The sequence below is a fragment of the Homo sapiens genome, chromosome 11 (genome assembly GCF_000001405.40).
Source record: "Homo sapiens chromosome 11, GRCh38.p14 Primary Assembly".
In the NCBI taxonomy this organism is placed as follows: Eukaryota; Metazoa; Chordata; class Mammalia; order Primates; family Hominidae; genus Homo; species Homo sapiens.
In genome coordinates this window covers 126,922,198-126,945,266 of record NC_000011.10, presented here as the reverse complement: position 1 = coordinate 126,945,266, position 23,069 = coordinate 126,922,198, and the positions used below count along the sequence as shown (strand labels likewise).

Sequence of the window (23,069 nt, the reverse complement as noted above, 5' to 3'; positions counted from 1 at the left end):
GATGCCTGAGAAGGATCGCAATGGTTTTGCCATTACAAAAATCACATTGGACAGCAGAAAGGTGGAGGTGGGGGAGCTGAGAACACGGGCCTGAGAATCCGCAAATATGTCAAAGCAGTTTTGTCATTGCCAAAGCAAACCTAAAGCGAAGCATAATGGAGAACTCGAGGCAGATAGAGTCTGTCACTGAGATTTAATTTGTTTCAGAACTGAGAGAGTTGCGAGGGCCCCCGTTCTTGATTGGAGTGGACAGCAAAGAGGTGCAAGCGCAAAGGCTGAAGCTATTCATCCCACATAGGACTCCAGTAAACCAATCAGATAAACCTCTTCATTAGGGTCCTGAATGAAAGGCAAGTGGAAAGAGGGCAGAACACAGCCTGTAGATTAAATCTGGTCAGAGCCAATATCTGACAATCCCCCATGCTGTTACCCAAATGAAAGCTAATGCAGCTATGAATTAGCGGCCCCAGGAGCAATGGAGAAGGGAATTCAATTCTCTCCGAGTCAGCTCCAGCCTAGACTGAGAGAGGAGCTGGGGAAGGCTGGTGTCACTCTCCCCAGGTTTGCAGGTGTGGGTGTAGGGGAAGGTGGCAGAGGTGCGGGGAGCCTCACTTGGGCTTCCTTGCCCAGTGGAAGTCTCAAGGCGTGGACCACAGCTGTGCTTTGTCTCAAGTCAGCCCACTGGGACAGGAAGGCATGACGGTTACTGGCACCCCGCGTTGAGCTGTGCCTCTTCTGGAAGTTCTCAGTGGCAACCAAGCCCGATGCCCTCCAAGAGCATTTGGTTTCATCCTCTCACCTTCCTGCTGCCATCCTTGAACATTACTCTTTCTTCACAGTGAGGCCTGGACAAAGTGCCCTGGCCTGGCACTTGATACTGTGAAGGAGGAAAAATTTCTTTCCTCACTTATCCCCGGGTTCATGGCAGAGGCTCCTGTAACAAAAGACAGACTAACCAGAGAAAAACACACACGTATGGAATATAAGTCTTACATGACACAAGAGCCTTCTTAAGGGAATGAAGACCCAAAGATACAGGGAAACCTGTGCATTTCTATGCTTAGACTTGATGAGGAATGGACAGTGGTGGAGAGATATAATAGGAGGACCAAAGGGTGTAATCTGATGATGGTAAGCTGGGGAACCTAGCAAGGCCCATTTATTCAGATTCCTCTCTGTGTCCTGGTATCTTCAGAGATAAGGATCTTCCTTTCTTCCGGGTAGGGAGGGCACCTGGAATGAGAATCTTACCACCTGCTTCAGGGGAGAAAGGCGAGGGGAAGGTGAGAGCAAACTTCCTGCCTCTGCTGTTTTGTCAAATGCCAAGGTGACATATTTTGGTATGTCCCGAACTGCATCAATATCTAAATTAAGAAGTCTCCACCTAGACCAAACCGAATGATACTATGTCCCCCTCACCTCCTAAACCTTGAGATTAGCCGTTTCCTCACTTTGTTTTCTCTCATTCAAATAGGGTATCTCTAAAACTCAGGGGGCATAGGGAAATGTGGCAGCCTTCCTTTCACTATAGGAGGTGGCCCTTTAATGCCTCCCTGGAGGCAAAGCCTGCCCTTGACCCCTCACATCAGTCATTCTGGCCCTGGTGACCCTGCAGTCATGCCCTTTCCCTGCCTTCTACCCCGGATGGCACTTATGCTCTGAGATGTATTCGATATGAATGCATTACTGTTCATTTATCGTTCAGTCTGCTGATTTAATCTTGTCCTGGGCTCATCCTTCACCCATGCTCCATGGCGTTGTGTAAATATGCTTGTACACTCCTAATGGGCAAAGCCATCACATCTAGGCAATTCTATTTGTACAATGCAATCTATAAAGGGAACTTCTTTTGATGATGTCAGTGATAATGGTATCAGATTGTTCCGAGGAGGGTAGAGAAATGCTGTGATTAGTTCCAGGAGTAAGGCGTTCCGTGGTGGAGATGGAGTCTCCCTCCACTCCTCCCTGGAACAGGGCTTTAACTGTAATTGAGTGAGTGAGAAGAGAGAAAGAATGACGGTGAATGTTTTACCATGGGAGCTGCTTAAGGCCCAGAAACACCTCAAAAGCCAATCCTGAGACCCCAAAGAGAAGGCCCCAGTGGAGCAGGAGCAGCACCCAGGCCTATGGCACTGATGAAAACATTTATCAGAAATCTGTGCAATCAAGAGCACTGAAGCAGAGGCTTGTCCCAAGAGACTTTGTCTGCAGTGGGTGGGGATTGGAGGGAATATCTTAGAATAAAATCTTTTAATGTTCCTCTCCACAGTCATATAGCCTCCTTAATATGACAAATCAGAGCTCCTGACATACTTTACTGCCTGCATGTTAACGAGCCGAGCCTTGCAACAGAGCCATTTGGGGCTGTAGAGGAGTTTACAAACAACTTGGTTTTGAGGTTCTCAGAGAGAGAAGGAAAAGGGAGATTGCATGGAAAGCAGAAATCCTGGAAGGGGTGGCTGCCCCCGGCAAGCTCCAGGGCTCAAGGGAGCGCCTCAAGGGAGCGCATCTACTCTTGGAGTGGCCACACAAAGAGTGCAGGGGAGAAGGCCAGCATGTTCAGACCTCTGAGGTTGCATTACACTGAAGGACTTGGTTCATTAAAATGTTATTCAAAACGCCATCCAGCACATGCCACATGACTCCTAGGACAAATGCAGTTGCTTTCCTGTCTGGCTGTCACTCCACAGTGCTTGAGTGACCCCCTCCAGCTGGAAGAGCCAGGGACGACATGGACCTGGGCAGCCGGGACTTCCACAGAAGGGCCAGCTTCTGTTCCCTGAATCCATGGCTAGGGTTATGCCTTGATCTCTTGTTAGCCAGGTTTCTGAGGTCACTTTGTTACCTTGTCAGAGTGATACAGTGGGCAGTATGAATTGGGCCCTTTAGAACATGAGAAAGTATGTTTTTCATGATGATGATGATGATGATGACATCATGTTAAAGATACTCAGTGTTTACCGTGTGCCAGGCGTGATGCTAGGGGTTTTAGAGGCACTTAATTCTTACTCAACTATATGGTTGAGAATACTATTATTCCAATTTTATTAATGAGTAAACTAAGGCTCAGAGAGATTAATACCTTGATTACAGCTATGAAGCTCCAACAGGTGCAGGGCTTCATGGGCGTACGCTCTATTCCAGAAGACTTGAGCTGGGAAGGTACCACCTGCCCCCACCTTTCTTTGGCCAAAGCCTGGAAAACTGAAGTGACCTCTGCAAGGCCACACCACTGGAAAATGACAGAGCTGGTAAAGGCCAGTTCTTCTGAACCCTGCTCCTTTGTTCTTTTCAGACTGGCATACTCATTGTCACATTGTCTTGCAGTTTAGAGTGTCACAGAGTTTTATGTTTAAGGAACTTGTTGATGGCTTGCATTGAATAAAGGGCACAACAGAACTAGAAAACCTAAAAACTAGAAAGCAAGAGGGAAAGTTTTGAGCCCACTGAGGAGTTAGTTACACTGAGATAGATCCCTGGAGGCCTACCATCCTTCCCAGGGCACGGCCCCTGATTTGGGGATAGCACCCTTCATCCAGCCCACTCTGGGAAGACTGCGAGAGTTGCAAGTATTTTGTACTATTCCAGGAATCCTTATTCATCCAGGCTTGAATCAGAAGACTAAGAAAGGATGAAGAGGTAAGAGTAGAAAAATGACCAGAGAAGAGACCATCCCTCTTATTCACCTGAGTATACCCATTGTCTAGGCTGCCGGAATGTCAACGTCAGTTTATGCACCATGCGAGGCTGGCTGCCTGAGAATCACCTGGTGAGTGATTTTAAAATGCAGATTCCTGAGCTCCACTTCTGGAATTTCTGATCATGAGTCTGGGTTAGGACTCATCTCTGTATACTTCTAATTGCTTCCCAAGTGATTCTGATTATTAGCAGACTTGCAGCCACTACAGAGAAGGCTCTAACAGCATCAGACAAATACAGTGAGACTGGAGAGATCAGGTGGCAATTTTGGCCAGTTAAATAAAAGACAATGGAGGGTTTTTTGTTTGTTTGTTTTTACTATAACTGCTGGGCCACTGCCAAAAATGATGCTGAGGGTGAGTCTAACACTGAGAGACAAGAGGAAATGGACTTGTGGGTAAGATCTAGTATTTTTATGCAGATGAAATTTTCAATAATTACCAGTTCTTGTCACACAAGAATGCTCAATTGAAATAACATCATGAATGGTGTCTGAATTATCTAGATCAATTCTCCCGTATGTGTTGTTTTCTGGTAGTCAACAGACTAAGCTTCAATCAAGCTAGGTAATTATCTGGATAAGTGAGACAACTAGTAATAGCAAAACCCAAATCTACAGTAACCCAGACATAAGTGAACTCACTAGGACAATTTAGGCTGATGCAGATGGAGGAGATGAAGGAACCAGAGTACAGTATCCAAATAGTTTCATGACAGTCTTGGCTCATGCGATACTGTTACACCAAAAGAAAAAAAAAAGAAAGAAAAGAAAAAAGAATTACTGCCTACAGAGGAGTAAAGAGGTAGGGACAAGGCTAAGTAGAAGAATTCTGAGGTCATTCCTCAGTGTTCTAGCTGGAGGCTTCTAAAGCATTATGAGCTGTGTGGTCAAGTTCAATACTAAGAACATGGCCTTAGAATGTAAAAATGAATGGCCACTTCCAGGTATGGCTGAGAAGGGTGAAAATGCATGCACCCACAGACACACACACACACCGTGGAAATGAGGAAAAGTTACTTCTCTCTGTTGTAAATTTAAATGCAGTCCAGAGTAGTGAAGGCCGTTTGTAAGGTCTGCTGAGCTAATGGATTCATAATGACTTTTAAAGCTTCACTCGGGTAAGAAATACTGTTCATTTTTTAATTGCATATAATTATACTTTTTCATAATCTAGGGCGGCATAGCAAAAGTAAATCTACTGGCGTAATTATAAATCTTTTTATTATCTGGAACCCTGCTGAAATAAAAGAAAAAAGAAACAACTATTGTTTTTCCAATCTAGAAAAAAAGGATATATTTAAAAAGATATAGGCTCAATGTTAAATGAGTTATGATGCTTTTGATGAGAGAACACTGATTTGTTGCACGTTTGACAATCCTTTGAGAGCAGGCTGTTTGTGGAAGTGCTAGGGCATTCTGACCTGCCTGTGGTCCAAACTGCTTCTTTTCTTGGGGGAGTGGGCATTTGATGATCTGTTCAATGAGCTAAATGAGTCCATTTTATCCCCAGAGATGGGCTCTGGGAAAGCCTGTAGCTAGAAGAGTCTGAAGGTTGGTAGAGTAGGATAGAGGAGGTGGTGAAAAGTCAGAGGAGGTAAAGTCTAATCAGATTTTTATTTGTACTGGGTTTCTCCTAATGATTGTCCCAAGGCCCCTGTATGAACCTGTGGCTCACTCAAGTTGCCCAGAGTGACCTTGGGAAAGAAGACACACCTCTGAGAGACACAAGATGATAACTTGGCAGGAAGATTCATTACATTCATGGTGATAAGATTTGCTATAATATCAGTTTCATATAAAGTAGAAATGCTGACTCAATCATATAGAGGGAAATAGCAGCATTTGGGAGGACCAAGGGCAAGTTTGGGTCTAAACAACCCAGTCTGAAGGAAGGGGAGATGCTTGCTCCTCACAAAGGTACCGGTGTGATCCTCCTAGTTCACCTGTCCTTTTTGTCTTACCTCACAAATCGAAGTGATGCTTGCAGCCTACCAGAGGAGCAGCCTTTCTCCTGGAAACGCCACTTAAGGTGGCCAGGAGAGTCCCTGCTAGCATTGGAACTTGTGAAAATAAGGTAGCCTCTCAGCAGCACCATCTAGAACCCTACCTGACAGAATCTGAGGCCTGTCTTCTCCCTAGCACAGAGTTCCATGATCCCTTGAAAAGACTTCTCCATCAGTTCTGGATGCCCCATGTTTAAGAGAACCAATTACTTGTCTTTGATGGGGGAGGACAGAGCATCCAGAAAGACAAACTAATTAAGCGCTCGAAGGTGGAGCAGCCCATTGGGCCTGATGGAGATAGATGATGTTGCCCATCTCAGAAGGGAGAGATTGCTTCTGGTGAAGAGAAAGCAGTTTGCAATTAACATCTACAAATTTCTCTGAACTGGTTTTTACCACCCTCCTCTAAGTCCAATCCAACATGCACAGACCCCCACAGCAGCTCAAGTCTACTAGAAACTACCAATACTATCCATACATTGATAACAACAGGCATCACTGCGGGTCCGTACTATGTGTGCCTGGCAGGGCGGGGCTCAGCTAGGAGCTTCCTTCTCACACTGAAGCTTTTTCCCTGGCAGGTACCTAGGCTGATCTTTACCCTCTACCTAGAGACTCCTGTCTCATCCTACTTGTTCTGGGTTCCAGGCTGCTGTCCTTAGGCCTGGTGCTGACAAAAACTGGTGTTTTAATTGTTACCCACTCTCTGGAAGAAAGCTGATCTCACATATCCTGTAGAGATTTTCGTAGGTACTGTGCATCTTGTAATCAGTGTGTGTTTTTTCTATTTTATTTCTATAAGATACAAAAGTGGTTGTAAACAGTGAAAAGAAAATTGTGTCTAGAAACTTTCTTTATGTTACAGTTTAGAGTATGACAGTTGGAACACACAAGCAAATATTATGAGTTTGGCTAGCTAACCTGACTCCCACGAGCAATCATCCCTGCTAATTTCCTATACATAATGTTTTTAATCAGTGGAGACCTAGAGTAGCTGGTTGCCTAATCCTAGGAAGTATGTTTTATTCCTTTAAGCTTTCTTCATAGCAGGCAAGACACATGCCAGTTTAGAATGGTGGCCCTACCACTTACTACCTATGTGATCTTGAGCAATTTACTTGACCTTTCTTAGCCTTACTGTGCTCATCCATAAAATAGAGATAGTAACACTCAGCCTGCAGAGTTGTAAGAATTAGAGAAAATATGCCAGTCAAGTGCCCAGTGTCATTAGAGCCTTGACACCACTTGGAACCCAATAGGTGGCTTTTGTGGTTGTGGCTGTTATTAACTCTGTTATTAAATTCAGGAAACTGAGTGCAAGTTGCTGGCATTTTGATGTTGGTTTGATGGGTTGCAGAGTTTTTCAAAGACTTACAACTTTTTGCATCTGTGAAGTGTGACTAATAATTCCTACTTTGCCAGGTAGGTATAGGTTTGGCAACAACAAACAGAAAACCCAACCACAATGGTATAAACAAGTAGGGATTCATTTGTTTCTCTTAACATGGCTTCTAGGGAGATGCTGCCAGAGTTGGTCCAGCAGTTTACCCATGTCAGAAGCAGCATCTCTGTGACTCTTTGGGGTTCTCTTGGCCCTTTCTACCCACTGCTCCCCTGGCAGTACCAACATGACTGCTGTGGGTTTTTTTTGGTTTTTTGTTTTGTGGGACGGAGTCTCGCTCTGTCGCCCAGGCTGGAGTGCAGTGGTGCAATTCCTGCTCACTGCAAGCTCCGCCTCCTTGGTTCACACCATTCTCCTGCCTCAGCCTCCCGAGCAGCTGGGACTACAGGCACCTGCCACCACGCCCGGCTGATTTTTTGTATTTTTAGTAGAGATGGGGTTTCACTGTGTTAGCCAGGATGGTCTTGATCTCCTGACCTCGTGATCCACCCGCCTTGGCCTCCAAAGTGCTGGGATTACAGGCATGAGCCACCACGCCCGGCCAACTGCTGTTTTTTTATGGCATCATCCTTGTTTCAGGCACAGAGGAGGGAAAAGAGGAAGAGACCGAGTATCTGTCTTATTGTATCAGTAAGGCAAAAGCTTTCTCCAAAGCTCCTCCAGGAAATGTATGCTCACGTGTCCTTGACTGGAGCTGCGATAATGACGGGGCCTGTCAACCAAGAGCGCCTGCCACATCTGCTGATAGAGCTGCTATGGGAATAGATGAGCTAGTGTATGTTAAGGCACTTTGTAAGTGCTTTACAAAAGTAAGTTATTATCCCTATCCAAGCCCTTGTACAAAGGAGAGGCCAGTCAACTGGCAAGTGATAACTATATTGCTTAGGCCTTTTAACCCACACTGAGATAAATGGGAGGCATTTGGAAGGCAGTGGTTGTTTCAGTACTAGTTGACGGGTCATATCCTCTTTCTGGCTAAGCTGGAGGTTATCCTGTTTCATTCTGCCAGTGAGATGATGCTTGGATTGAACTTGGTGGCTTCAATTGTCTCTGCTTGATGTAAGTGTGAGGCTATGTCCTAGATAAATACAACAACAGCAGGAGGTATTCCTGAAAGACACATTCACCAGTAATGGGGTTATGTTAAATTAATCATAGGTAGTGTTCTTAGTGTGTGCCCTCTGCATTCGTGTACCCTCCTGACATCCTTAATAAGCATCTGCTATTCCTTAACAGCTTTATTGAGGTATAATTTACATACCATCACATTTACTGTTTTAACTTTGCAATTGAATGAATTTTAGTAAATTTACACAGTTGTTCGGACATCACTACAATCTAGTTTTAGAACAATTCCATCTCTCCCAAGTGATCCCTCATGCCCATTTGCAGATCATCTGCATTCCCACCCACTGCTGTGGGCAACTACAATTCTATACTCTATTGCTAGAGATTTGTCTTTTCTGGACATTTCGTATCAATGGAATTTTACAATTTGTGGTCTTTTGTATCTGGTTGCTTTCACTTAGTATGGTTTTGAGGTGCATCCGTGTAGTAGCATGCATCAATATGCATTCAATATGCATTTGCTTTTTTTTTTTTTTTTGCTGAATAGCATTTTATTGTACGGATAGACCACATTTTGTATATTCTTTTACCAGTCGATGGACATTTAGATTTTTTTCCACTTTGTTGCTGTTATGAATAATGCTGCCGTGAACACTTGTGTACATGTCTTTGTGTGGACATATGTTTTCATTTCTCTTGGGCAGACATCTAGGAGTGGAATTGCTGGATCATATGGTAAATTTATGTTTTTAAGAAACTACTGAACTATTTTCCAAAGTGGCTGTAACATTTAACATTTCTACCAGCAATGTATTGAGGGTTCCAGTTTATTTACATCCTTACCAACATCTGTTATTTCTGTCTTTTTTATTATAGCCATTCTAGTGGGTATGAAGTGGTATCTCATTGTGGTTTTAATTTGTATTTCCCCAGTGATTAATGATGTTAAGCAGTTTTTTATGTGCTTATTAGCTATTTGTATATCTTCTTTGGTGAAATGTCTTTTGAAGATTTTTTGCCCATTTTTGAAAATGTAGATTTAATTTTTAGAGCAGCTTTAGGCTCACAAGAGATTGAACAGAAAGTACAGAGGTCCCATATATGACCCTGCTCCTGACAAAGGCACAGCCTCCCCCAGTATTGATATCTCACACCAGCCAGAGTGGCCCATTTGTTACAACTGATGGACCTCCATTGACACATCATTACCACCCGAAGTTTATAATTAACACTAAGATTCACTCTTAGTGCAGTACATGTTATGGGTTTGAACACATGTATAATGACTTGCATCTACCACGTAGTATCAAAGAGGATAGATTCACTGCCCTAAAAATCCTCTGTGCCCTACTTTTCATCTCTTCCTCCCCACAAACCCTGGCAACCACTAATCTTTGTATTATTTCTATAATGTTGTCTTTTCCAGAATATCATCTAGTTGGAATCATATAGTATGTGTAGCCTTTTCAGATTGGCTTCTTTCACTTGGTAATAAGCATTTCAGTTTCCTCTATGCCTTTTATGGCTTAATAGCTCAGTTCTTTTTAACACCAAATAATATTCCAGTTGTCTGGATGTACCACAGGTTATTTTTCCATTCACCTGCTGAAGGTCATCTTGGTTGCTTCCAAGTGTTGGCAACCGTGAATGAAAATACTATAAACATCTGTGTGCAGGTTTTTGTGTGGACCTACATTTTTAACTCATTTGGATAAATACCAAGGAGAATAACTGCTGGAACATATAGTGAGAGTATGTTTCTTTTCTTTTTTTTTTTTTTTTAACTGCCACACTGTCTTCCAAGTGGCTGTGCCATTTTGCCTTCCCAGCAGCAGTGAATGAGAGGGCCTGTTGCTCCACATCCTTGCCAGCATTTGCTCTTGTCCTGTGTTCTGGATTTTGGTCATTATAATAAGTATGTAGTGGTATCTTATTGTTGTTTTAATTTGAAATTCTCTCATGACAAGCATTTTTTCATATGCATATTTGACATGCTTGTATATCTTTGGTGGTGTCTTTTGCTCTTTTTTTTTTTTTTTTAAGACGGAGTCTTGCTCTATGGCCCAAGCTGGAAGCTGGAGTGCAGTGGTGTCACCCCGGCTCACTGCAAGCTCCGACTCCGGTGTTCATGCCATTCCTCCAGAGTAGCTGGGACTACAGGCACCCGCCACCATGCCCAGCTATTTTTTGTATTTTTAGTAGACACAGGGTTTCACCGCGTTAGCCAGGATAGCCTCGATGTCCTGACCTCGTGATCTGTCCGCCTCGGCTTCCCAAAGTGCTGGGATTACAGGCATGAGTCTCCGCGCCTGGCCGTCTTTTGCTCATTTTTAAAATCAAGTTGCCATTTTCTTATTGCTGAGTTTTAAGAGTTCTTTGTATATTTTGGATATCATTCCTTTGTCAGATATGACTTTTGCAAATGTTTTCTTCCATTATGAACTGTCTGTTAATACTCTTGAATTTCATCCATTTTTAATGGCATTACTTACTTATTATTATATTTTAAGAGTTTCCTATACGTTCTACAGCAAGTTATTTATCAAGTATATGATTCATGGAATTTTCTCTCAGTGTGTGGCTCCTCTTTTCATTTTCCTAATATTGTCTTTTCAAATGCAGAAATTTTTAATTTTGATGAAGTTCACATTCTTCATGTTATTCTATGGATTGTGCTTTTGGTGTGTATAGAAAAACCCAAAGTCACAGTGGTTTTCTACTATATTTTCTTTTAAAATTTTTGTAGTTTTAGCTTCTACATTTATGTCAATATCAATTTGGGGTTAATTTGTGCTTGTGGTATGAGGCCAGGGTCTAAGTTCATATTTTTGCCTGTGAATGTCTAGTTGTTTCAGAACCATTTGTTGAAAAGACTATTCTTCCATTGAATTATCTTGATACCTTCTTTAAAAAAATCCCTAAATATAAGAGCTTAATTCTGGGCTCTCAATTCTGCTTCATTGATCTATATGTCCATATGTCTATAGTTTTGTCAGCACCACACTGTGTGGATTACTGTAACTTTGTAGTATGTTTTAAAACCAGGAAATTTAAATGCTCCAACTTTGTTCTTTTGCATTTTTTTTTTTTTTTGTCTTTTCCAGATCCTTTGCATTTCCATGTAAATCTTAGAACTTGATTGTCAATTTTAGGGGAGAAAAAAGCCTGTTGAGATTTTAATAGAAATTGTGTTTAACCTAAAGATGATTTGGGAAGAATTGTCATCTTAACATTTTTTAACCATTAAAATGGAATGTCTCTCCATTTATTTAGAACTTCTTTAATTTCTCTCCATGTTTTTGGTTTTTTTTTTTCCTTTTTGGTGGGAATTGTACAAGTATTTCACTTCTTTTGTTAAACTCCTTTCTAGAATTTGATTATTTTAATGCTATTTATGCTATTGTAAATGGAATTGATATCTTAATTCCATTTTTGGATGATTTCTTGTGTGTAGAAACCAAATTAATTTTGTGTATTGATCTTGTGAACTTGCTGACTTCATTTATTAGTTCTAGTGATTTTTTTGTAGATTCTTTGGGATTTTTTTACATATGAAATAATCTACAAATAAAGACAGTTTTCCTTCTGCTTTCCTTCCAATCTAGTTGCCAAGCATCTGATATTGAATTTGAAATTCTTTAAAACATGCAAAGAGTATAAAGGAGGTTCCCCTAAGGCAGATAACGTGATGACTTGAAGGAGGAAGGGCTTACAAATAGGGACTAGAATGACAGAAGGGACCAGGGAGTCCCTCATTAGGCTGCAATGAACTTAGGCTCACTCACTTATTTTTCAAGGAGTAAGGATAAAGAAACTGCCATGAGAAAGACATGCCCAGGTTTGATGATAGGGACTTTGATAGTGGGACAGGAGATGGAGTATTGTTGAGCTCCTTTCAGAGAAATTGAATTGCACAGCATTTTTCCTTTGTCCTGTGAAGAAATGGTTTGTTCCCTTCCAATTAATTTGGACGTCTTTTTCTGTTAAGCAGGGACTGGCTGATACCCCACCCCTTCCAAATGCAGATGGAGTAACAGGGGCACAAGGTAGCCAGTTGAACAGCCAAGAAGGCCTTGTGTACATGCTTATCTGCAACTGCAGCAGTAATTGCAGATTCTAACTACCATGTCTCCTTCTCTCCAGCGAAGTGTCTTTTAAATAATCCCTCATTATTTAACATGCATTGGCTATTATGGCTATGTGAGCTGTTATCTATTTATGTTGATTATTAATAAATTATTAGATCATATTGTGTGGGTTTTAATAACTCCATAGGAAGAGAAACGTGGCCAGGAGGTGAAATCTCAAGCAATTACAATTTTGTAGGTTGAGTTTATTTTTTTCTAACACATAGAAGCTGTTCACTTACAAGTAAATTAAATACATAGGCCTTTTGCCCTTACTTAGGATTCTGGCCATGCGAAGAGCTGGGACTCACAGCAGAAGCACATTTCCTGGCCTGAAGAGCCTGCTGGGGGTGGCTGTAGCAGGGACCGTCCAAGACAGGGACCTGCTGCTTATTGGGTTCAATGCATTGAGACTTGCCCTTTCTGTATGGGCCGAAAACCTTCATAACGATACTAATGTTGATGGTCATATCTGTGTGAGGTTAAGCAGAATTTCAAAATGTGCTATTTGAAATCAGTCTTGAAATAGGACCCCCCACTTTCGGTGTCCAAGACGGGAACCTGCTGCTTGTTGGGTTGAATGCATTGAGCTTTGCCCTTTCTGTGCGGGCCGAAAACCTCCGTAAAGACACTAATGTTGATGCTCATATGTGTGTGAGGCTAAGCAGACTTTTAAAATGTACTATTTGAAATCAGCCTTGAAATAGGGCCCTCCTCTTCCAGAGGAGACACAGGAAGCCACACTGCTCCTTTCACGTGCATGTCCTTTCTTGTCGGAGACAAACAGGCGAGAGGCTGTTTGAGAATCAGGATAGGAGTGTCAGCAGAGGGGATTCTTGATGAACTCTGCTCTGGGAGGTCAGGCAGAGGCAAAGAATGCACCAGGCTTCAGCCACAAAATGGAAATGGACTCAAATCATTGTCTTGTCAGCCAGGATTTCAAAATCAATACCAAGCCTCCTTGATACATTCTTATTCTTTCTCTTCTTTTCTTGCTGTCTGCTGAGGGTGATGATGAATTTTCTTCTCCAGGTAGCTGTGGAAATAAAATCCTTATGCCCTCCTTGGTACGAGTATGCCTCGTCCATCTACTCCTATTGGGGTGAGAAGGCAACACGTGTCCTGGGGCTCCCTGGGTGCTGGCAGCCCTCAGTTACTAGCATCATTTGTCACCATCTTTTCTCTTTGCCATAAGGGGATTGAGTCCACCTTTCTGGCCTCATTGCTACTGTCTGTAAACTGGTGATAATCTTCCCCAGAATGCTGTAAGGAAGAATGAATATGGGTATCTGCCACTATTCCATATTTAAATTATTTAGACAACTAGGACTTGGAATCCTCATTCTTATACTTGCTACTAGAAAGTAGATTTGGACATAAAACAGCTTCATTCTCTAGAATGACTAGCCAAGAGGGCTTACTTAAGGGAGCCTTCAGAAGAACGTATTTAAGATTGTCTCAAAGTCTGGATGCCACAATGCTATGGGTTCCTGGAAGACAATAAAATCCGTCTTTATATCCTCCTTCCCTTTCACATAACCAGCAGTGAATGCTTGTGGAGTGATTGACAGGAAAGTAGGGTGGGGTAGGGAGGAAGGAAGGAAAGAAGGAATGTATGGAGGGAGGGAGGAAAGGCAGGTAATAGATTCCAGTCTATCCATTCATTCATTCATTCAATCTTGATTTCAGTACATCCTATGTGCCAGACACTGCGATAGGTTCTGGAGATAACAACAGTGTCCAAGAAACAACAGTGTCCAAGAAACAGGACTTTCCCTCAAAGAGCTTACTGGGGAAGCCAGCAAGACCAGCAGACAAACACAGGTAGTGCACATAAGTTCCATGCTGAGATGAGCATAGAGGCCTGTGGGAACTCACAGGTAGGGTATCCAACTGCCCAAAGCTTTCTGAGAGAAGGTGCTGTCTACACTCGTCCTGTGTGAGAGTGGGAGATGGATAGGGGAATTCTGGCAGAGGGAACCGAATGTGAAAGCATGCAGAAAAATGACTGTGCCATAGCCTGGCAAATCCAGGTCGTTCAGGATAGCTAGGAGGAACATGTACAGAGGAGGCAATGGACCTTGGGGCAAGTACAGCTCTATGTCTGCAGACTCTGAAGAGCCTGGTCAGCTGTGTGCAGGGGTAGGGACACAATCCTGGGATCACTGAGCAGGACAGTAACACAACCAGATACCTGATTTAGTAAGACCCCTCTAACTGCACTGGATATGGAGGGGGTTGGGGGAGCAGATAGAATGCAGTGAGACAATTAGGGAAGAAGCTGGTGGCTTGGATTGAGGTGGTAGTCAGGGGATGAAGCAATCCAGTGACCTACTTCCTATCTTCAGCAGGCTTCCTTAGCTGAGGGCCCAGACAGACATGGCAGGGAAGGGCAGAAGATTTAAACCAAGAAAGTATATTTTCTTAGAGAAGGAGAACCCTCCTGATGCAGAGCCCTGGAGCATTTAGGAAAGTTAAGGGCAGACTGGCAGCTACCTCCGCAGTAGGGCAGTGAGATGATGGGGATTGAGCATGGATTTGGAGACAGCCTGGAGCAGCCCAATTCCAATGCTTTGAATATAGGCACAACAGGCAAGGGTGAGCTCCAAACATCGCAAAGAATGGTGGGAGAGAGGGCTTTCTTGGGAGAACACAATGAGGTTCATTCATGAACTTCCCAAGTTGCTCCTGTTACCACAGTAACATGTCAAGGGTTTAGCAGATCTGGAAAGAAAAAAAATACACACGCATACAACAACCCTGAGTTACAGTACTCAAAGCAAATTAGGTCACTGTTACGAGTTATTAATTTTAATGCATTAAGAAAAGTGTGCAGGGGGGAGTGAAGAGTTTTTTTTTTTTAAGCACACAAATGGGAATCAGCAAAATGTACAACAAATAATTATGCTGAAAGCAAAGTGAAGTGTTCCATAAAATATAAGAAATGAACAAATTACACACCCCTCCTTCCTCCTCCCTCAAGTGTACTTGGGAATCGGTGAGGTGGGGGGGGGGGGGTGGCTCCCCCACAGCCCTCTGATGCAATTATGAGCTCTCATTTCACCTCTTTGTGTTATGTCACATGGTGTTACTTAAGCCAAGCTGAAATTCAGCAGTGGAAAGAGAGCGCAGAGGAGCATTTTTCTGGGCTGAGTTATGTTTAGCGTGGAATCGCTCTTAGGCAAATGTGCAGCCTGATGAATGGAAATTGGAAGCCATGAATAGATTCTCCAGGAACTTTCATACCCAAGAGGACTCCAGGCAGGCTGGATTTTTGGTTTCTAGGCCTGGGCGACTCACTGCCGCAGCCTGCTTCCTGGATGGAACTCTGGGTCTTGCTGCTGCAAAACTGGGTCAGGGGCCTCTCTGGCTTGAGGAGGCTCTGTTTGCTTTTACGTGGTCTTATTTGGCTTTTGGTATTTGGTGTCTTATTTTTATTTGTTTTCTGCTTCTTAGGTTTTGTTTCGATCTTTTTAGGCAAGTCAGAAAATTCTGCATTCCAGACGGCAGCATTTGTGGAACTGACCTCCTTCTTTCTGTACACAAAAGGCCTCTCCCCTTCACTCTGAGTCTCCTGCCTCTCTTCCTGTCCACACCCTCAGCACCCACAAGCCTGTACCTTCCCTGTCTTGACTCCCTGTCTGGATTTCATTCGGATCATTAGCTACATTTTGGACCTGGGAGGAGGCTCTGGGACTCATCCCTACACTATGACCACATCTTGTCACTTGACTTCCTGGGGACTTTGACCTCTCTGTCCTCCTTAAAATTCTATTCTCCATTAGCTTGCAAGATGTTTTGCTCTCTTGTGCCTTTTCTCCTCCCTCTGACCACGCTCAGTCACAGTTGGCAGATGTGTCCTCTCCACTCTGTAAACCCAGCTCCCTGCCGACGTCCTTGAAAAGCTCCTAAGGGGTATGTACATCTGAACTTGACCTCTGTCTTTCTATCTCTGATTTTTCTCTCTCTTTTCTTTTACTCTCTCTTTCTGTCCATGTTGATTTATTTCATCCATTCATTCTCATAGTTTGACCAATCATGGGTTTGCTCATGGCTCCCAAGCCCATAGTTTGGCCTTAACCTTTTACCTAAGCTCAGAGAAATAAACTAGATACCACCATCCACATAGCTCATAAGCGCCACAAACTTAACTTAATTCTTCCCTCTCCTTCGTGACCTCTTCTGCCTCCAAACCAATCAACAAAACAAACCAACTTTAAAAAGAAAAAAAATAAAACTCTACATCTGCTGTGTTCCTTATGTCCATTAAAACATCCTTTTCCACCCAGTCATGCTGGTGAGGGTCTTTTGCATTAACTGAGACCTTGCTCTCCCCCAAGCATGGCTAACACTTCTGAAATAGCCCCAGTCCTGCCTTTTCCCTGATTTTCGCCACCACGTCGGGGTCCCAGGCTTCAGCCTCCAGCTCATGACAGTGTCCGCCTGCAGGGCCTCTTTTCTCAAGTTCATTCCCTACACTAATTTCAGAGCTGTCTTTCCAAAACCAGCCCTGATCAGGGCAATCCCAGCCTCTGGACCTATGTCCGGGAATCGCTGCCCATTGCCTAAAGGATGAAGTAGGAAGGATTTCAAGGCCCAAGGACATCTGGCCCCAGTCAACTTTTCCACCTCATTTCTTCCCCACCTCTGCTCTAGCCCCACATCCACCATTCCCTAAACACTGGGTGCACATCCAGATATCTGAGCTTTGTTCCTGATCTTCCCACTGGTGGGATCTATCCCATCTCTTCTCTACCTAGCAAACTCCTGCACATCCTCAAGGCCAGTGAAGCTCCTATGCAGAGTGAATCTCTCTTTTCTGGGCTCTTTTTAAAAATACATTGACGGTAGCACTTATGGCAATGACTTGTGTGATTTGAGCACATTAGATTCTGAACTCCTTGTGAGACGCCATCTTGGAGCCTTCATCCAGCCTGGAGAAGCACAGGAGCACTCAACAAATATTGGTTTTTTTATTTGTTTCCTCATTGAAATTCTCCACTTATAAATGAAAAAGTTATGAGCTTTCATCATAAGCTATTTAAAACTGTAGATCCCCAAAGTGGCAAAGCCTAAGTGAATTGCAAGGTGGATGTGCAGGACCTCCTGCCTGGACAGCCTTGTCTGGATGGTGCTGCCTCTCCACATTCCAAGGCCACACCTTCTAAGAAGAGCTACTCTTGAGATTTTGAGAATGTGGGAAAGCCCCGGGTGGATATCAAAGCACATTCCTATGCTTGGTTTTTCTGTGCATGCTGCTGAAGATTCAGGAGGTGGAAGACAGAGGGAGGAGGGAAGAAGCACTGGAAATCTTCGTTGCTTTTCTATTCTATTGTTAGATGGCTTAGTAAAAAGCCACATTTCTATAAAGTTTTCCATAATGTCCGCATTTTCTGTAAAAGTAGACCAAAGGCAGAGTGGTCAAAGGAGACCTTTCCTTTTTGTATTTATTAAAATAATGTATTCTTGTTATAATAAAGAGAGAAAGAAAAATGTAAGCCTAGTACAAACTCACAGAAGCCTGGCAGAGTTAACTCCTAGCATTGCAAAGTTGAAATAATTATAGAATGGTGTATATATAACTGGGTAAGACACATAAGTATGAGTGTGTACACACACAAAATCATAAACTCAACAAATATTCATTGAGTAACCACTGTGTATCAAGTGCATAGTGTGTTGTGTGCATGTATGTGTGTGCATGTATGCATGTGCGTGCGTGCGTGTGTGTGTGTGTGCTTACTCCCCAGGTGTCGTGTGCTGCAGTTGGGAGCTTTTCATTTCAGTCATTTGGGTAACCCCATCTCAGCTGTCCTTAGAACCTTCTGGACAATGAAAAGAAAGGCTTTGATTCCAGAGGCTAATTTGGCCAGTGACTGGAAAGCTTTATTTTAATTGATTCTGCCTTTCAATATCCAAGTAACCTATAATCTCAGCTCGATTGCCAATATTTTGCCTGCATCATGCCTTAGCTGTTAGCATGCAGACAGGGCAGGCAGAGAGCTGCTGTCATGGCTCAGGATAAAAAGGAAGAGCAGCTCGGGGTAATAATCTGCTTTTGATTTTTTTCTCTTCCTTTTCCTATACCCTCTCTCAAATCCACTAAAATGGGGGAAAAATCCATAGCGATTAGAAAAACTTCTGACCAAGACATCTTTCTCCTTTGCTTTCATTTTTTCCGCGCCCTCTTTAGTATTCAGAAGCCACCCAACGTCAGAGGTTTCCATGCTGCTTGGCCGTGCACTGCATCCCAACCACAGAGCAGGGGGGAAATGCTCATAGGAGATTTGCAGTTCCTTTCAAGCTCATGCCAGGTGGCTTCCATCACACTTCCAGGCAGAGCTCTGGCAGCAAGTCACCGGGGCAGGAAGGGTGCTGGTGAGAGGCTTCTGCAAAGGCAAGGGACGTGTGTAGAGACAGAAGCCCAGCCGAGTCACCCCTCATAGTACCAGCTCCTCTGAGAAGCCTTCCTGCAGTCTCTCAGAGCCGTGACCTACCTTGGCAGAGCCCAGGGAGGAAGGTGCGTGGCTCCAAAGAGAGCTGCTCATTACCATATGACAGGGAAATATTCAAATGAGCATAACTACAGTCAGTGGCAATGTGGGGTACTGTGTTAGGAATGCTTAATGTTAACTTTCGTTCTCACAACCCACTGGCTAGATCCTCTTTTCCCATCTTACAGAAGAAGGAACTGAATCGCTGCACAGAGGTCACACATCAAGTAGATGGTCTATCCAGAGTTCAAACCCAGGTGTGCCAGGCCCCAAGTTTTCGTCTGCCACCCACCTGTCCTTTGTTGCCAGGCAGTGTGCACCTCCAGCGTTCTTCTTACCAATCATCTCCTCCACTCCTGGAGCGATGGGCTGAGGCCCAAAGTGATTGTGTGGGTAAGGGGTTCGAGGCAGAGGGGCGTGGTGGTTAGAGTCATATAAGAACATCATGGGAAGACAGCCAGGTGTCTCTGCCCATGACTGAGTCACTGCAGTACATAGGATGAGGTATGTTTCTGGATAGGACACAGATGTCTCAGATCCGGGGGTGTCTGTTTGCTGTTGATGTCAACCTGGCAGAAAGCCCTGTTCTCTGACTGTCACAGATAGAGGAGGAAGGAGTGCCTGGGGACATGCGGTGGCAGGAGAGGATGGAGAAGGCCGGTACCTGGGCTGGTAGGGAGGCTGTTGCAGTGCAGCCATGCTGCCTGGCACCTGTGGCCAGAGAGAAGTGCAGGAGCAGGGAGGGTGGGAGTAGGCAGCAGAGGTGACCACAACGTTCTCACCTTAACCCAGTCCCTGGAAGTGGCTCCGGGATGCTGGCAGTCATAGACCCAGTGGAGAATGAAGCTGGACGGCTGGTGGCCATTGACAACAGGAAGACATACTGCCAAGGAGGAGAGGGCAGGGCTGGCCAAACTCCCAGTCCCTGACATCTGCTCTCCTGCTCAGCCCTCATACTGAGCTCAGCTCGAACCTGACAGCCTCTTCCATTTAGTTCGTAAATCCCCCAAGCTGGCCTCAGGCAGCCTCTGTGTCTCCAGGCCTATGTCATCATAGGACAGCCATGAAGCTTTCCTGATCACTGTCCCATCCCTTCTTCATTGCCATGCTCCCCCCGCCACCACAGGCATCCTGGAAAAGAGCAGGGCCTTCTGCCACCAGGCTGCCTCATGCGTGTGCCTGCTCTCTCATCCTGTCAGGACACATGCATGTTAGATCCCACGGCACCAACAGCCTGGGGAAGGGAAGGGAACCTTTCTGTTACCAGGGGGTTGCAATGGTGTGTGGCAGGTGGAGACATAGCAGAGCAGGTGCACCAGCCAAACCCTTGCAGGGCTTTGCACAATCCTGTGACCAACAGCCCCCCCCCCCCCCCGACCTTTTTATGGTGAGGAGGAAGCTGTGCAAAAGTGTACATCTCTCTCTAGGACAAGTGTGTGAGCACCCCTTTTCCCTTTGCCCTAAGGGCATAACTCCTAGGACTGTTTTTTTTTTTTTTCAATTTTATCCCAACCTCCTCCACTGCAACACACACACACACACATAAGCATGTACACACACACACATACACAGAGCCACAGTCACACCGAATATTCATGCTGTTGGAGAGTGAATCATGCTAATAACAACTTTCATTCTCAACATCAGAGAGGCTAACCAGGAGGGTTGAGGTGAGGGTGTTGATGGGGCAGGGATGAGCACACAGCAGGCATCCAGTTAATCACCTTGGCCAAGCAATGGCAGAAGCCAGGGTGAGCTCAGGAGCAGCCATATTTGCTTGGAAAGGCAGGGGTTTTAATAGAGCAAAGCTGCTCCTTTTTCTTTAACACTTCTTCCAAATCCCCCAACAGCCCTGCCTTTAAATCAAGACTACTCTGGGGCCTTCTGGGAGGGAGTCAGCAGCAGCTGAAGCGCAGTCTGTGGGTCGGGTGTGTGAAGCCAAAGATGTTCCTTGTTGCAAACGGGCAAGTACAATAATGGCACAGGATTAATGGGTGTTAGACTTCCCGTGTGCCTGGAAATCCTCTTTATTTTAGATCCCAATTATTTTTTCATTGAACACATATTTTTTGAGTACTTATAAGGACCTGGTGTTATGCTAGGTGCTGGGAGACAGCTTTCTGAAGGGTGTAAGCAAGAGAATGAGACAGACCTCATTTGTGCTTTGAAAGATTACTCTCTGTGGTGTGGAGAGTGAGCGAGCTAGAAGGGAAAACTGAAGGTGGGAAAACCAGTTGCGTGGATGCATTCAGGTCAAAGGTGATGGTGGCCTGAGCCAGGGAAAGGGGGAAGGAACCCAGGGGACAGGATCAAGAGCTGCCTGGGCTACCAGCCATAAGACCACTGCTTATCAAGTGTCTACAAGGCGCTATGACGAGTACTGGGAATAGAGAGATGAACAATATTTAGAAGTAAGATTTTTAAAAGTTAGTGACTGGTCATAGGGGCTAAGGGAAATGGGGAAGCCTTGGATGATGCTCTAGCCTCTGGCTTAAACAAGCGGGTGAGCCACATCAGGATCATGTGAAGAAAAGAAGGTTTGGGGGGAAAGCCAATGAATTTCACTTTGGACACATTTGAGCTGGAATTACTTATGAAGCCTCTAAGTAGAGATGTCCAGTAAATATTCGGGTACATAGGGCTGGAGCTCAGTAGAGAAACCTGTTCTATGGTTATAAAAAGGATCTGGGCAGAACTCTCAAGATAGACCATCACGTAAGAAGTAGGCAGGCCAGGTGCGGTGGCTCATGCCTGTAATCCTAGCACTTTGGGAGGCCGAGGTGGGTGGATTGCCTGAGCTCAAGAGTTCGAGGCCAGCCTGGGCAACATGGTGAAACCCCATCTCTACTAAAATACAAAAAATTAGCTGAGCGTGGTGGCAGGTGCCTGTAATCCCAGCTGCTAGGGAGGCTGAGGCAGGAGAATCACTTGAACCCTGGAGGTGGAGATTGCAGTGAGCTGAGATCATACCACTGCACTCCAGCCTGGGCGATAGTGCGAGACTCTGTCTCAAAAAAAAAAAAAAAAGAAGGAGAAGAAGAGGAAGAGGAAGAAGAAGAAGGAAGAAGAAGAAGAAAGAAGAGGAAGAAGAAGAAGGAAGAAGGAGAAGGAGAAGGAGAAGGAAGAAGGAGAAGGAGAAGGAAGAAGAAGAAGGAAGAAGGAGAAGGAGAAGGAAGAAGGAGAAGGAGAAGGAGAAGGAGAAGGAGAAGAAGAAGAAGAAGAAGAAGAAGAAGAAGAAGAAGAAGAAGAAGAAGAAGAAGAAGAAGAAGAAGAAGAAGAAGAAGAGAAGAAGAAGAGAAGAAGAAGAAGAAGAAGAAGAAGAAGAAGAAGAAGAAGAAGAAGAGAAGAAGGAGAAGGAGAAGGAGAAGGAGAAGAAGAAGAAGAAGATCCACAAGGCAAGCTGAGCAGAAACATCCAGAGAAGGAGGAGGAAAACCAGGAGGGCATGCTGCCATGGGAGCCAGGGCACGAATGCTTGGTGCAAGGGCACCGACTCGAGGGATGCAAAGACTGCCTGGTGGTCACAGGGACTCAGAGTCATGAGGCCCTTCGCAACCTCGGCAAGAACCATCTGGGAAGAGGGTAGACATGGGTGCCAGAACACTGCGGATTGTGGGAAGAGTGGGTAAGAAATGAGTCCGGGAAATGCAAGGAACTCTTTCAAGGGGCTTGGTATTGAATAAGAGAAAATAGGGCAGTTGCTGCAGAGGAAAGTGGAGTGAAGGGAGGTTGTTGTTGTTGTTGTTGTTGTTGTTGTTGCTGCTGCTCCTGCTGCTTTTTATTTGTTTTTAGGGTGGGAGAGACTTGCACATAATTTAGAGACTTTCCCTACTGAGAAGAAGGGGAGATGGTAAACTTGACAGAACAAGGTCCCTAGAAGTGGGAGGGAAAGGGGTCTGCAGAGCCAGTGGAGGATGGAGGGATTCACCTTGTATGGGAGGGAACGTTACATGCTTCTCATGTAAGGGCAGGGAAAGTGGAAGGGTGGGCACAGATCAGGCACACGATGATGAGTTTGGAGATGGACATGGAGGAAATACTTATCTGTCGGCTTCTGTTTCGTTTAAGAAGCAGGAAGAGGCCTTCTACTGAGAGTAGGGGTGAGGAGATGCAGTAGTAAAGTTTATAAAGTGGAGAAGGTTTGATTCAGCCTTCATGGAGAATGGATGATCTGACCACAGAGGCACACAGGGACTGGAGGCAGCATGGAGGGGCCAGTTGAGGAGGGAGATCATACATGACAAGCAGGTTAGGGTTAGCCAGGGCTCACTGGAGG

General features: G+C 44.5%; 1 protein-coding gene and 2 long non-coding RNA genes across 22 annotated transcripts in view; 2 read left to right on the top strand and 1 right to left on the bottom strand.

Moving 5' to 3' along the window:
- Positions 1–23,069, top strand: part of KIRREL3 (kirre like nephrin family adhesion molecule 3) — a 580,037-nt gene that overhangs the window by 58,128 nt on the left and 498,840 nt on the right. The window lies entirely within an intron of this gene.
- KIRREL3-AS2 (KIRREL3 antisense RNA 2) lies at positions 177–4,521 on the bottom strand. Its single transcript, NR_046986.1, has 3 exons — positions 4,343–4,521; positions 800–951; positions 177–339 (listed from the first exon to the last, which is right to left on the bottom strand). It is a non-coding gene; the product is annotated as a KIRREL3 antisense RNA 2 (long non-coding RNA).
- Positions 4,629–23,069, top strand: part of LOC105369559 (uncharacterized) — an 88,316-nt gene continuing 69,875 nt past the window's right edge. For 3 of the 4 annotated variants that reach the window (XR_001748435.2, XR_948149.3, XR_001748434.3), the window contains exons 1-2: positions 4,629–4,818; positions 13,990–14,124. This is a non-coding gene — a long non-coding RNA (uncharacterized LOC105369559). The remainder of the gene's footprint in view (positions 4,819–13,989; positions 14,125–23,069) is intronic. The other variant, XR_007062939.1, reaches the window with a different exon arrangement.